Below are 12279 nucleotides of genomic sequence, written 5' to 3' on the forward strand. Positions count from 1 at the left end.
ACAGTTTCTTATAATACAGTTTACTAGAGGATTGTTAGAAAAGTTACTCAGCCTCATCTGTAAGAGACAGATAATTGTTGTGCCTACCTCACAGGGCTGTTGTGGGGACCAAGTAAGATAATGTATGAAAAGGTGCTTAGCACAGTGCCTGGCATTTAAAAAGTAGTCAATAAATGTTCATTATTGTTGACAAAGAAACATGCCTTGTGTTGTGATTTACACACCGAGTTTATTTTGGTCAAATAGGCCTCTAGAGAGAAAGCAAAGACAAAGGGTTTTGGTTCTCTCTGAAGAGCAAGTGAATTGATGCCACTTTTAAAATGATAGAGTTACAGAATGAGGTCAGGCATGGTGGCTCACACCTGTAATCCCAGCACTTTGGGAGGCCAAGGCGGGTGGATCACCTGCGGTCAGGAATTGGAGACTAGCCTGGCCAACATGTTGAAACCCTGTCTCTACTAAAAATATAAAAACTAAGTCAGGCTTGGTGGTGGGTAATCCCAGCTACTCAGGAGACTGAGGCAGGAGAGTCGCTTGAACCTGAGAGGCGGAGGTTGCAATGACCTGAGATCGTGCCACTGCACTCCAGCCTGGGCAACAAAGTAAGAATCCGTCTAGAAAAAAAAAAAAAACAATTCAGTGAGGTCAACATTGGCAAACTATACACATGGACACTGTGATGAGTATTATAACAGATGGATAAACCCAATTCTTAAACATCTAACAAATGCAGTTTTCTATAACATGTAGTAAATTCAGTTTCTGACAACAAACATGAAAAAACAGGCTTTGTAGTAATCCTATCTTTGAGATTAAGTACTACATTCTCTTAAGATAATCTCCATTCAAAAGACAAATTATCATAGCAAACAGACCTGCCAGAAACTCAATTTCATGAAGACAAAATACAAAGTAGGTCAATATCTAACTTACACAGACCTTAACCAACCTGACTAGTGCTCTTTTGTATGTATGTGCATGCTCACCACTATAACTTATTTGTAAATATTCTTCAGTTTTCTCCCTCATCTTTCCAGTGACAACTGAGTTTTGTATTCTAAAAAGCACTCGTGTTAGTGTCAATAAACTTCTTCCCGGCCAACACTTCTAATCAAATCTTATAGTAGTTTGTGACTAGCTGTGTTCATGGTTTTAATCAAGACAATCAAAGGATGTGGGGCTTAACAGTTTCCTTTTTTTTTTTTTTTTGAGATGAAGTCTGGCTCTGTCACCCAGGCTGCAGTGCAGTGGCGCAATCTCGGCTCACTGCAACCTCTGCCTCCCAGATTCAAGCAATTCTCCTGCTTCAGCCTCCCAAATAGCTGGGATTACAGGCACCCACCACCATGCCTGGCTAATTTTTTGTAGAGATGGGGTTTTGCCATGTTGGCCAAGCTGGTCTCAAACACCTGACCTCAAGCAGTCAGCCCGCCTCATCCTCCCAAAGTGCTGGGATTACAGGCGTGAGCCACCGCGCCTGGCCTTACAGTTTCCTATTTTGATATGCTGTGATTACTGTTATCAGCATCCTCACTATTGTCATTGGTTCATCACTTAATCAAGCACTCTCTGGCCTCAGCCCTCAATGCTGTTGTAAAATCTGGCCTTTCATTTCACCTGCCAGATACCGACATGGATCAGTTGTGAATCAATACTTGTTCCTCCAGCACAGCCACTGAGCCAGCTGAAGAAAGATGACCCCAACTGGCTCTCAGCACTGCTCAGCAATCAGCATCTCTCAATGCCTTCTCCCATTGCCTGGTTCTACTAGTCCAAGTCTGTAACACCTCCTGAAATGTTCTGTGATACCTCTTAGCATAGGATGCGTTCACTGAGAAGAGTCAGGCAGTCAGGAGTGGGGAGGGAGTCTGCTAACATCCATCTGTACACGTGGAAGAAGCTCTCACCCCGCTACTCGCCACTCAGCTCTCCATCTTTGCTTACCGTCCCCTTGCTATTCCAGGATCCTGCTTTATCACTCACTTCCTCTGCTACGCCTTTAACTTCTCTACTAGCTTTTTCCTCCAAACACCCCTGGCCTGTCATATCAGGAAGAAACCTCCACCATGACCCTATATCCTCTTCCAGCTCCTATCAGTCTTTCATTCCCATTCCCTTATCAACTAAGGGCAGACCAGCTTCTTCCTCATTTCTCCGAATAAATTGTTCTTAAGCATTGAGCCAACTTGTATCTACCAGGGCTGGGAACTGTTTTCAATGCTGGGCCAGGTATAACTGCAGGCACTGTTTTAGACGCCAACAACTTATCTCCATCTCCACGAATGTTACCATCGTTCACTCAGCTGCCCAGTCCAGCTTTTTTTTTTTTTTCCTTCCCTTGAGACAGAGTCTTGCTCTGTTGCCCAGGCTGGAGTACAGAGGTGCGATATCTGCTTACTTCAACTTCCACCTCCCAGGTTCAAGCAATTCCCCCACCTCAGCCTCCTGAGTAGCTGGGATTACAGGCACTTGACACCATGCCCAGCTAATTTTTGTATTTTTAGGTGGGGTTTCACCATGTTGGCCAGGCTGGTGTCGAACTCCTGACCTTAGGTGATCCACCCGCCTCAGCCTCCCAAAGTGCTGGGATTACAGGCGTGAGCTACCGCATCCGGCCTGCTTCCCTTTCACTTTCCACGGCCCCACACTCTCATTTGCCAGTCCTTATAGATTCTACCTGTTTAATATCTCCCACCATCCCCACCCTGCCCCCACTCCCCACCCCCACCAGTCTTCATGTCTGCTGCCTTAGATCAGGCCCTTACCACCCCCTGCTTAGATTGCTGCTGTGGCTTGTTAATTGAGGCAGGCCTCCTTCCAGACCATATCCCACTGGCTGTCGTAGGAACCTCTCTAAAATTCAAATCTAATCGCATCATGCTGTGACCTACAATGATTTTCATAGCTTACAGATAAACTCCTTAGCTTAACCCTTAAGCTTCTTAACGTCCCATCTCTGTTTACTTTTCTTAGTTCACAACATACCATTCACCCAAATCATCCTAATGGCAACCATTTATTGAGCTGCTGTTTATGTGCCAGGCATTGTGCTAGGTGCATTACTTCTCATTTAAGCCTCACAGCAACAGATGAGGAAATTGAGGCTTAGAAAGGTTAGGAAACTTGCCCAAAGTAAGCGGCAGGGTCGGCTTCAAACTCAAGTCTGTTTTGACTCTCAAGTTCAAACCCCTGAAGAAGACACCAGCATGGTTTTAAAGCATGGACTGGGAGCACCTACATCAAAATCTCCTGGATACATGTTAAAATGCAGCTTCCTGGCCGGGCGTGGTAGCTCAAGCCTGTAATCCTAGCACATTAGGAGACCGACGGGGCTGGATTGCCTGAGCTCAGGAGTTCGAGACCAGCCTGGCCAACATGGTGAAACCCCATCTCTACTAAAATAAAATTTAAACAAATTAGCCAGGCATGGCAGTGTGCACCTGTAGTCCCAGCTACTCAGGAGGCTGAGGCAGGAGAATCACTTGAACCTGGGAGGAGGAGGTTGCACTGAGCCGAGATCATGCCATTGCCCTCCAGCCTGGGTGACAGAGTGAGACTCTTGTTTCAAAAAAAAAAAAAAAAGCAGCTTCCTTGGCTCCCCTTCCTGCCCTGATGGGCCAGACTCCTTGGGGGTGAGTCTTTGAGTTCTGCATTTTAAACAAGCACTTCGGTACCACTGTTGTGTTGTGTACTTGGAGTCACACAAAACTATTCCTCCAGTGCACCATACTATTCCTCTCCATGCCTTTCCACAAGCTTTGTCTCTTCCTGGAACATCCCTACCTTCTCATTTATCTCTCTAGACTCAGTCCACGTGGCCCCTCTTCTGGAAAGCCTTCTGTAATTCCTCAGGCCAATTTCAAAGCCCCTTCTTTCCTCTCCTCTAGGCTGTGGTTGAAGCCCTCTACAGCAATACTTTCACTTATCATAACCCCTGGTTTATCATTCATCCCCTCTCTGGAACATAAGCTCCTCTGCCCTGTTCATGTGGCTCTCCAGCAGCCTGGTACAACCTCCCACTATAGTATATGCCTGTCAAATGTTCGTCTGATTCACTCCCAGCGTCATCTTCCTGTTCCATCCCCTTCCAATAAGCTACTGTGGGTCAATGCTACATTTTTGTTGTTGGGTTTTTTTTTGTTTTTTGTTTTTGAGTCAGAGTCTGGCTCTGTCACCCAGGCTGCAGTGCAGTGGTGCGATCTCGGCTCACTGCAAGCTCCGCCTCCTGGATTCACGCCATTCTCCTGCCTCAGCGTCCTGAGTAGCTGGGACTACAGGTGCCCGCCACCACACCCGGCTAATTTTGTTTTTGTATTTTTAGTAGAGAGGGGGTTTCACCATGTTAGCCAGGATGGTCTCAATCTCCTGACCTTGTGATCTGCCTGCCTCGGCCTCCCAAAGTGCTGGGATTACAGGCGCGATCCACCGTGCCCGGCCACCAGTCAATGCTACATTTTAATTGTTTCTATCAGGAACATGTTCAGCTGCAAATAGCAGAAAGCCCAACTCATAATGGCCTAAACAAAGATGGTTAATTATTCTCACATCCCAGAAGTTGAGGGGAGAGGGTTCACTTGTGGCACAGGGGCTCCACTCTGCCAACAAGTTTCCGGGCTCCTTCTGCTCTGCCTCTCCTAAAATGTTGCCTTTGTTGTGTAAAACGAACAACAACTTTCACTTGTTCATAATGTTCATTTAATATGCATATAACATTAAATTCCCCTAATCAATTAATGCCATTTATAACCTTTGGTAATGGAAAGATTGTAAACATTTATACATTTAATATACCTGATTTAAAAAAATTTTTTTTTAATTTTTATTTTTTTGAGACAGGCTGTCGCCCAGGCTGAAGTGCAGTGGCGTGATCGTGCTTACTACAGCCTCAACCTCCCAGGCTCAGGTGATCCTCCCACCTAAGCCTCCCAAGTAGCTGGGATTACAGGCGTGCGCCACCACACCCAGCTAATTTTTATATTTGTTGTAGAGACAGGGTTTCACTGTGTTGCCCAGGCTGCTCTTGAACTCCCGGGCTCCAACAATCTGCCCACCTTGGCTTCCCAAAATGTTAGGATTACAGGTGTGAGCCTGTAATCCATGCCTGGGCCCCTGATTTTCTTAAGTATTTCTAATGCAGAACAGAGCAGATAAGCACACTTTTCTAAGCACTGAAGCAACTCTTGGAAATGGAATTAATTAAACTATGGTAAATCAAGTTGTTTTAAGAGTCCAGTACTCTACAAACTTAAATTCTTTTATGCCTTTCAATGTAAAAGCATCAGTCTGTAATCATATTTCAGATTGAAACCACAGGGAAAACTGACATTCTCAAATATGTTAGATTCCCTTAAACTATTACAGAGGTTTTAAGTAACACATCAGATTGTCTTGAAGCTAAAGTATTTTCCCATACTTCATACTTCTACATAATCATTTCAACTGTATGTCTTTTGTGATCATGTGATGAAGAAATTTATATTTTTTCCATCAAATTTAAGTGAACTCCTGAGAGATTTCTTTTTTTTCTTTTTTTTTTTTGGAGATGGAGTCTCACTCTGTCACCCAGGCTGGAGTGCAGCGGCTCGATCTCTGCTCACCGCAAGCTCCACCTCCCGAGTTCACACCATTATCCTGCCTCAGCCTCCCAAGTAGCTGGGACTACAGGCGCCCGCCACCACTCCCGGCTAAGTTTTGTATTTTTAGTAGAGACGGGGTTTCATCGTGTTAGCCACGATGGTCTCGATCTCCTGACCTCGTGATCCGCCCGCCTCGGCCTCCCAAAGTGCTGGGATTACATGCGTGAGCCACCGTGCCCAGTCCGGAACTCCTGAGAGATTTCACTGGAAAAATATGATAGCAAGTAATAAAGAAATGCAAATAAAAGTAAAATACCATTTTTTTCTTTTACATGTGTTGAAAAACTTTTAATGTATAAGATTGATTATACTCTAGAGAAACAGGCAGTGTCACTATTGGGAGTACAAGTGACTGTAAACTTTTTGGAGAAAAGTTTGGCAATTTGGCCCAAATTTTAAGTTATTTTTTCCTTTGACAGAAAAAAATTCCACATCTAAGGATCCTACCAAAATACCTCTCTGTGGATCAATGATTTATATAAAGATGTTCATTGAAACATTGTTTATAATAATAAAATAATGGAAACAACCTAAATGCCCATGAAGAGTACACTGGTTAAATAAATGTGGCACATCATGTATGTAGCAACATTGAAAGGAGTCTCATATTTAACACACAGAATGGTTCATAGCAGGTAATGGGCTTACAATAGATATAAATGAATGAATAAGCCGTTAAAAGTAACTTACGATATGGTTGGTTCTGTTCATCCATTCGTTCATTCATTCAGCCAGTATTCTGTGGGGAAATAATGGTGAGACAACAGATCCAGGCACTTCCCTTACCAAACATATAGCCTATTAGAAAAGATAGTCATTAATGCCGGGCATGCTGGCTGAAGCCTGTAATTCCAGCACTTTGGGAGGCCAAGGTGGGCAGATCACTTGAGATCAGGAGTTCGAGACCAGCCTGGCCAACATGATGAAACCCTGTCTCTAAAAATACAAAAATTAGCCGGGCATGATGATGGGTGCCTGTAATCCCAGCTACTTGGGAGGCTGAGGCAAGAGAATTGCTTGAAGCTAGGAGGCAGAGGTCATAGTAAGCCGAGATCATACCACTGCACTCCAGCCTGGGCGACGGAGCAAGACTCGGTCTCAAAAAAAAAAAAAGAAAGAAAGAAAAGAAAAGATAGTCACTAATTTTTATAAATTTCAAATAAGGCAAAAACTAATATGAGTTATGAAGAAAAAGGACACAGTGTTATGTGGTTCTATGTGTGGGCACTTTGACCTAGCCTGGGAAATTGAAAGTAAACAAATGTATTATGTATTATATACATATATTAGTAAATACATTGGAATCCTACCACTGGAAGGCCAAGGCGGGCGGATTGCCTGAGCTTAGGAGTTCGAGACCAGCCTGGGCAACACGGTGAAACCCCATCTCTACTAAAATACAAAAAATTTGTCTGGCATGGCAGCATGTGCCTGTAGTCCCAGCTACTCGGGAGGCTGAGGCAGGAGAATTTCTTGAACCCAGGAGGCGGAGGTTGCAGTGAGCCGAGATCGTGCCACTGCACTCCAGCCTGGGCGACAGAGCGAGACTTTGTCACCCCCCCCCCCCAAAAAAAAAGATTTGGTTGGATCTATGCCATATCTAACAATGGTTGTAGGGTTGCAATAGGATTAGGTGTGACTTTTACACTCTACATAAGACATCCCTATGTTATTTGACATTTTCTTTCAATAAGTATGTCTTGCTTTTGTAATCAGACAGAAGTATAAATGTATACATTTTAAACCCAAATAAACAATTCCACACTATAGCAATGGTTCCCAAGGCAGCTGGGGAAGAAGGGTGAATTTACATGCTTGCCAGAGAGGAAAAAAATGGTAGAGCTTGGGCTGGTATGGTAGGCGGAATTCTAAGATAGCCCCCAAGATTCTTGCCACCTCGTGAACACACCTCACTTATTCAATCAAACGCTAATCTAGGTGTGGCTGTCAGAAGATTTTCCAGGTATGTTTAAAGCTTTTAACCAGCTGACTTTAAATTAGGGAGATTATTGTAGGTGGGCCTGACCTAATCTGGTGAGCCCTTAAAAGAAGTCAGATTCAAGCAGAAGAGATTCTCCTGCTGCCCTTGAAGTAGCAGCAATCAAGTTGTGCATTACCCATGGCGAGAACCTGAGAGTGCCTTCTAAGAGTTGAGAGGGACCCCAGCTGACAACCACAAGATAGCAAGGACCTCAGACCTCAACCACAAGAAACTAAAATTCTTTTTTATTTTTTTGAGATGGAGTCTCACTCTGTCACCCAGGCTGGAGTGCAATGGTGAGATCTTGGTTCACTGCAACCTCCACCTCCCTGGTTCAAATGATTCTTGTGCCTCAGCCTCTCAAGTTGCTGGGGATTATAAGTGCCTGCCACCACGCCCAGCTAATTTTTGTATTTTTAGTAGAGATGGGGTTTCACCATGTTAACCACTCTGGTCTCAAACTCCTGACCTCAAGTGATCCACCCACCTTGGCCTCGTAAAGTGCTGGGATTACAGATCTTAGCCACCATGACTGGCCAAGAAACTAAGATTCTATCAAAACCGAAATTCTGTCAACAACCAATGAGCTTGGAAAAGTATCCCAACCCTCAGAGAAGATCACAGCTTTGGCTGATACCTTGAATTCAGCCTGATAAAACCCTGATCCATTCTTGGACTCCTGACTCAGGGGAATTATGAGATAATAAATTTGTGTTCCTTTATGTCAATGATTTGTGCTAATTTGTTACACAATAATAGAAAACGAATACAGTTGGTATTGAGAAATAAATTGCTTTTAACCTGCAACCTGACATTCTTGTCCCCAGCCTGATGCTTAGAAAGTTGAGAAGTGGAGGAAATGCTGTACTGTCTGATAGGTAGCTAGGTGATGAAATAAAACTTATGTCCATACGACTGTATGCCCTCAATACCGTCTTGCCCACAAATTAATTTTTCCTCATGACTGTAAGTGACTGTGCAATTGTCTTGACAACATTGACCTTTCCAGAAATATTTTTACCAGTCTTTGCTTTAGGGATATAACTAATACTGGCCATGAGCATTTTCTGTTCCTCTGTCAGTCATGGTTGTTGCAACCCTGTAGAACTTACGTGGACTGTTCTTTTATTTATTTATTTATTTTTGAGTCAGAGTCTCGCTGTGTCGCTGACTGAAACCTCTGCCTCCAGGGTTCAAGTGATTCTCCTGCCTCAGCCTCCTGAGTAGCTGGGATTACAGGTGCCCGGCGCCATGCCTGGCTAATTTTTGTATTTTTAGTGGAGATGAGGTTTCACCATGTTGGTAAGGCTGATCTCGAACTCCTGACCTAGTGATCCACCCTCCTCGGCCTCCCAAAATCCTGGGATTATAGGCGTGAGCCACCGCTCCCAGCTGTGGACTGTTCTTTGTGTTAGCCTCTCCTCCGCATGTGCTCTCGGTGTCTTCCCTTACCCAACCTCCACGTTCTCTTCCTCCCTTAATTCCTTATAGTTTCCATCATGTTGGCAAAAGCTGAAGTTGTGTCCTCTAAGAAAAAGAGTCTCAGACTCTTAGATAAAGCGTCGACTCTTTCATGTAAGAGACCAACCATCTCTTACCGACTTTATTATTTTATTTTATTTTATTTATTTATTTATTTTTTATTTTTTTTGAGATGGAGTCTCGCTCTGTCGCCCAGGCTGGAGTGCAGTGGCGCAATCTCAGCTCACTGCAAGCTCCGCCTCCCGGGTTCACGCCATTCTCCTGCCTCAGCTTCCCGAGTAGCTGGGACTACAGGCACCCACCACCATGCCCAGCTAATTTTTTGTATTTTTAGTAGAGATGGGGTTTCACTGTGTTAGCCAGGATGGTCTCAATCTCCTGACCTTGTGATCCGCCCGCCTCTGCCTCCCAAAGTGTTGGGATTACAGGCGTGAGCCACCACGCCCGGCCTATTTTATTTTATTAATAATTTTTTTTTAGATAGTCTCGCTCTTGTCTTTCAGGCTGGCTGGAGTGCAGTGGCAGGATCTTGGCTCACTGCAGCCTCTGCCTCCCGGGTTCAAGCAATTCTCCTGCCTCAGCCTCCCAAGTAGCTGTGATTACAGGCACCAGCCACCACGCCCAGCTAATTTTTGTATTTTTAGTAAAGACAGGGTTTCACCAGGTTGGCCAGGCTGGTCTCGAACTCCTGACCTCAGGTGATCCTCCTGCCTCGGCCTCCAAAAGTGCTGGGATTACAGGTGTGAGCCACCGCACCCGGCCTCTTGCTGATTTTAAATACCATTAAATGTTAACCTGTCATGGCCAGTTGTTTTTTCATTTCTGTACACCACCAGCCAAAATAAAATTTAAGAATGTTTTATTCAGGGAGAAGGAAATTACACCAGAAACTCTAGTGAAGTATGGAATTGAGGATTTTTTTTCCCTTCCCTTTAGAGTATGAAGCTGAGCAGCCTCCCTTTCCAGAAGGATATAAAGTCAAACAGGAGCCTGTGATTACGGTGAGTATTACCTAGGCCTCAACCGAAGCAAGAAGCTCTTAAATGAGAATAGCATTGATGGCCTGTGAATGTCACACAGTGTCACTGAGTTCAGGAGGTGGGAAAGGGAAGGCACTGGAGCGAGAACCAGAAACTTGGGGCCAATCCCAGCTCTAATACTAACAGTTTGACTTAGAGGGCATCACATAACCTCTTTGAGCATTAGTTTCGGCGTTTGTCTGTCTATCTATCTGTCTGTCTGTCTGTCTGTCTATCTATCTATCTTATCTTATCTATCTATCTACCTAATCTATTTTTTGAGACAGGCTCTTGCCCTGTCGCCCAGGTTGGAGTGCAGTGGCACAATCTCAGCTTGCTGCAACCTTAGTAGCTGGGACTACAGGCACCCGCCACCGTGCTTGGGATTTTTTGTCGAGACGGGGTTTCACCATGTTGTCCAGGCTGGTCTCATACTCCTGACTTCAAGTGATCTGCCTGCCTCAGTCTCCCAAAGTGTTGGGATTACAGATGTGAGCCACTGCTCCCATCCAGGTTTCTGCATTTATTAAATGGGACAGATAATGCTTGACTAACTCACAGGGCTTCTGTGGGGCTCACATGAGATCCTGGATGAGAAGAGCCTTTGCAGTGGATCTAACACCATGTCCATGTGAGGGACAGTTGCAGACAGACCAAGTTTCTCTGCATGACAGGGTAGACAAGATGAAGACTGTGCTAAGGAGAGAGGGCTAAGGACAGGGCAGCCAGGAAGAGAGGCCCTCGTGAAGTCTACCTTGGAATTAGATAGGAGCTTAACGGAGTTTAAAATTTTTAAAAAGCAAGGCTCTGAGAGATGAAGGGACTTGAGCACGGTAACACGGATGGAATCAAAACCTGTTTCTCGACTTCTATTAACTTCCATCACTGCAGCTGCCTCTGACAGAGACATTGTGTCTAAAAACTTTCTTGTTCTGTGATTGTTCCTTTTCTCCTAGCATCCTGTTCTTGCTTTATGGACGCAATTCTTTCTCAAATTTCTCTGCAGATACAAATCACAGTTCTCTTCCCTGAATTCTCTGTGCTTCTTCCAGGGTCAGCTGTTCTGACAATATATGTTGATCTTCGTCTCTTGTGCTATGATCTTCTTGACCCGTATAAAGAGATTTGATTGTTTATTAATGGTCTTCAGTGGATTTTTCTATATAGCTGGTATATTAGGGTTCTCCAGAGAGACAGAATCAGTAGGATACATATATGAGAGGGGATTTACTGGGGTAATTGGCTCACACGATTACGGAGGCTGAGAAGTCCTACATTAGGCTGTTTGCAAGCTGGAGAACCAGGGAAGCTGGTAGAGTGGCTCAGTCCAAATCCAAAAGCCTCAGAGCCAGGAAGAAACAACAGTGTAACTACCAGTCTGAGGGCCTCTGTTTATGATACATGGCAGGGTTACATGGAAATCTAGCTGGACTTAATTAGCCTCTGAGAGCCCCAGGGACCACTGGTGAGAGCCCTGGAGTCTCAAAGCCAGAGAACCTGGAGTTCTGAGGTCCAAGGGCAGGAGAAGAAGGGCGTCCTAGCTCCAGAAGAGAGCAAGAATTCAGCCTTCCTCAACGTTTTGTTCCTTCCAGGCCCTCAGCCAATCCAATGGTGCCTGCCCACATTGAGGATAGATCTCCACTCAGTCCACCAACATATACACCAGTCTCTTCCAGAAAACCCTTGCAGACATATCCAGACATAATGCTCTGCTAGTTACCTAGGTATCCCTTACTCCAGTCAAGTTGACACTGAAAATTAACCATCACAGTATCACGGCTGATGTGGCTTTCTTCTACTGCTGTACTTGTGGGTTTGTTTTCTGGATGGGTCTCTTCTATGAATAGCAAAACACTGACTGGGTGCTCCTGAAGGGTGATTGTCCACTGGCCGACTTTTCTTCAGGGTGAACAGGCAGAGAGTCGGTATTTTGGGATTGGGCGGTGGCGGCAGGAGGGTCTCTAAATCAACTTTTTCTTTCTTTCTTTTTGAGACAGGGTCTTACTCTGTCATCAGGCTGGAGTGCAGTACTTCACTTCCCAAGCTCAAGCGATCTTCCCGCCTTTTCCTCCCAAAGTACTGGGACTACAGGCGTATGCCACCACTGCCAGCTAATTATTTTTGAATTTTAGTAGAGATGAGGTCTTGCTATGTTGCCCAG

General features: G+C 44.8%; 1 protein-coding gene across 8 annotated transcripts in view; it reads left to right on the forward strand.

Moving 5' to 3' along the window:
• The window catches only part of IQCK (IQ motif containing K), a 140197-nt gene that overhangs the window by 2124 nt on the left and 125794 nt on the right, over positions 1 to 12279 (forward strand). For 7 of the 8 annotated variants that reach the window (NR_130967.3, NR_130968.3, NM_001394805.1 and 4 more), the window contains exon 2: positions 10036 to 10100. The exons of the other annotated variant lie outside the window; for it this stretch is intronic. Coding sequence is in view for 4 of the 7 variants with exons in the window: in NM_153208.3 (NP_694940.1) it covers positions 10036 to 10100 (65 nt within the window). In the remaining 3 variants the exon portion in view is untranslated. The remainder of the gene's footprint in view (positions 1 to 10035; positions 10101 to 12279) is intronic. 8 annotated transcript variants of the gene reach the window in all.

The sequence above is a fragment of the Homo sapiens genome, chromosome 16 (genome assembly GCF_000001405.40).
Source record: "Homo sapiens chromosome 16, GRCh38.p14 Primary Assembly".
Classification (NCBI taxonomy): Eukaryota; Metazoa; Chordata; class Mammalia; order Primates; family Hominidae; genus Homo; species Homo sapiens.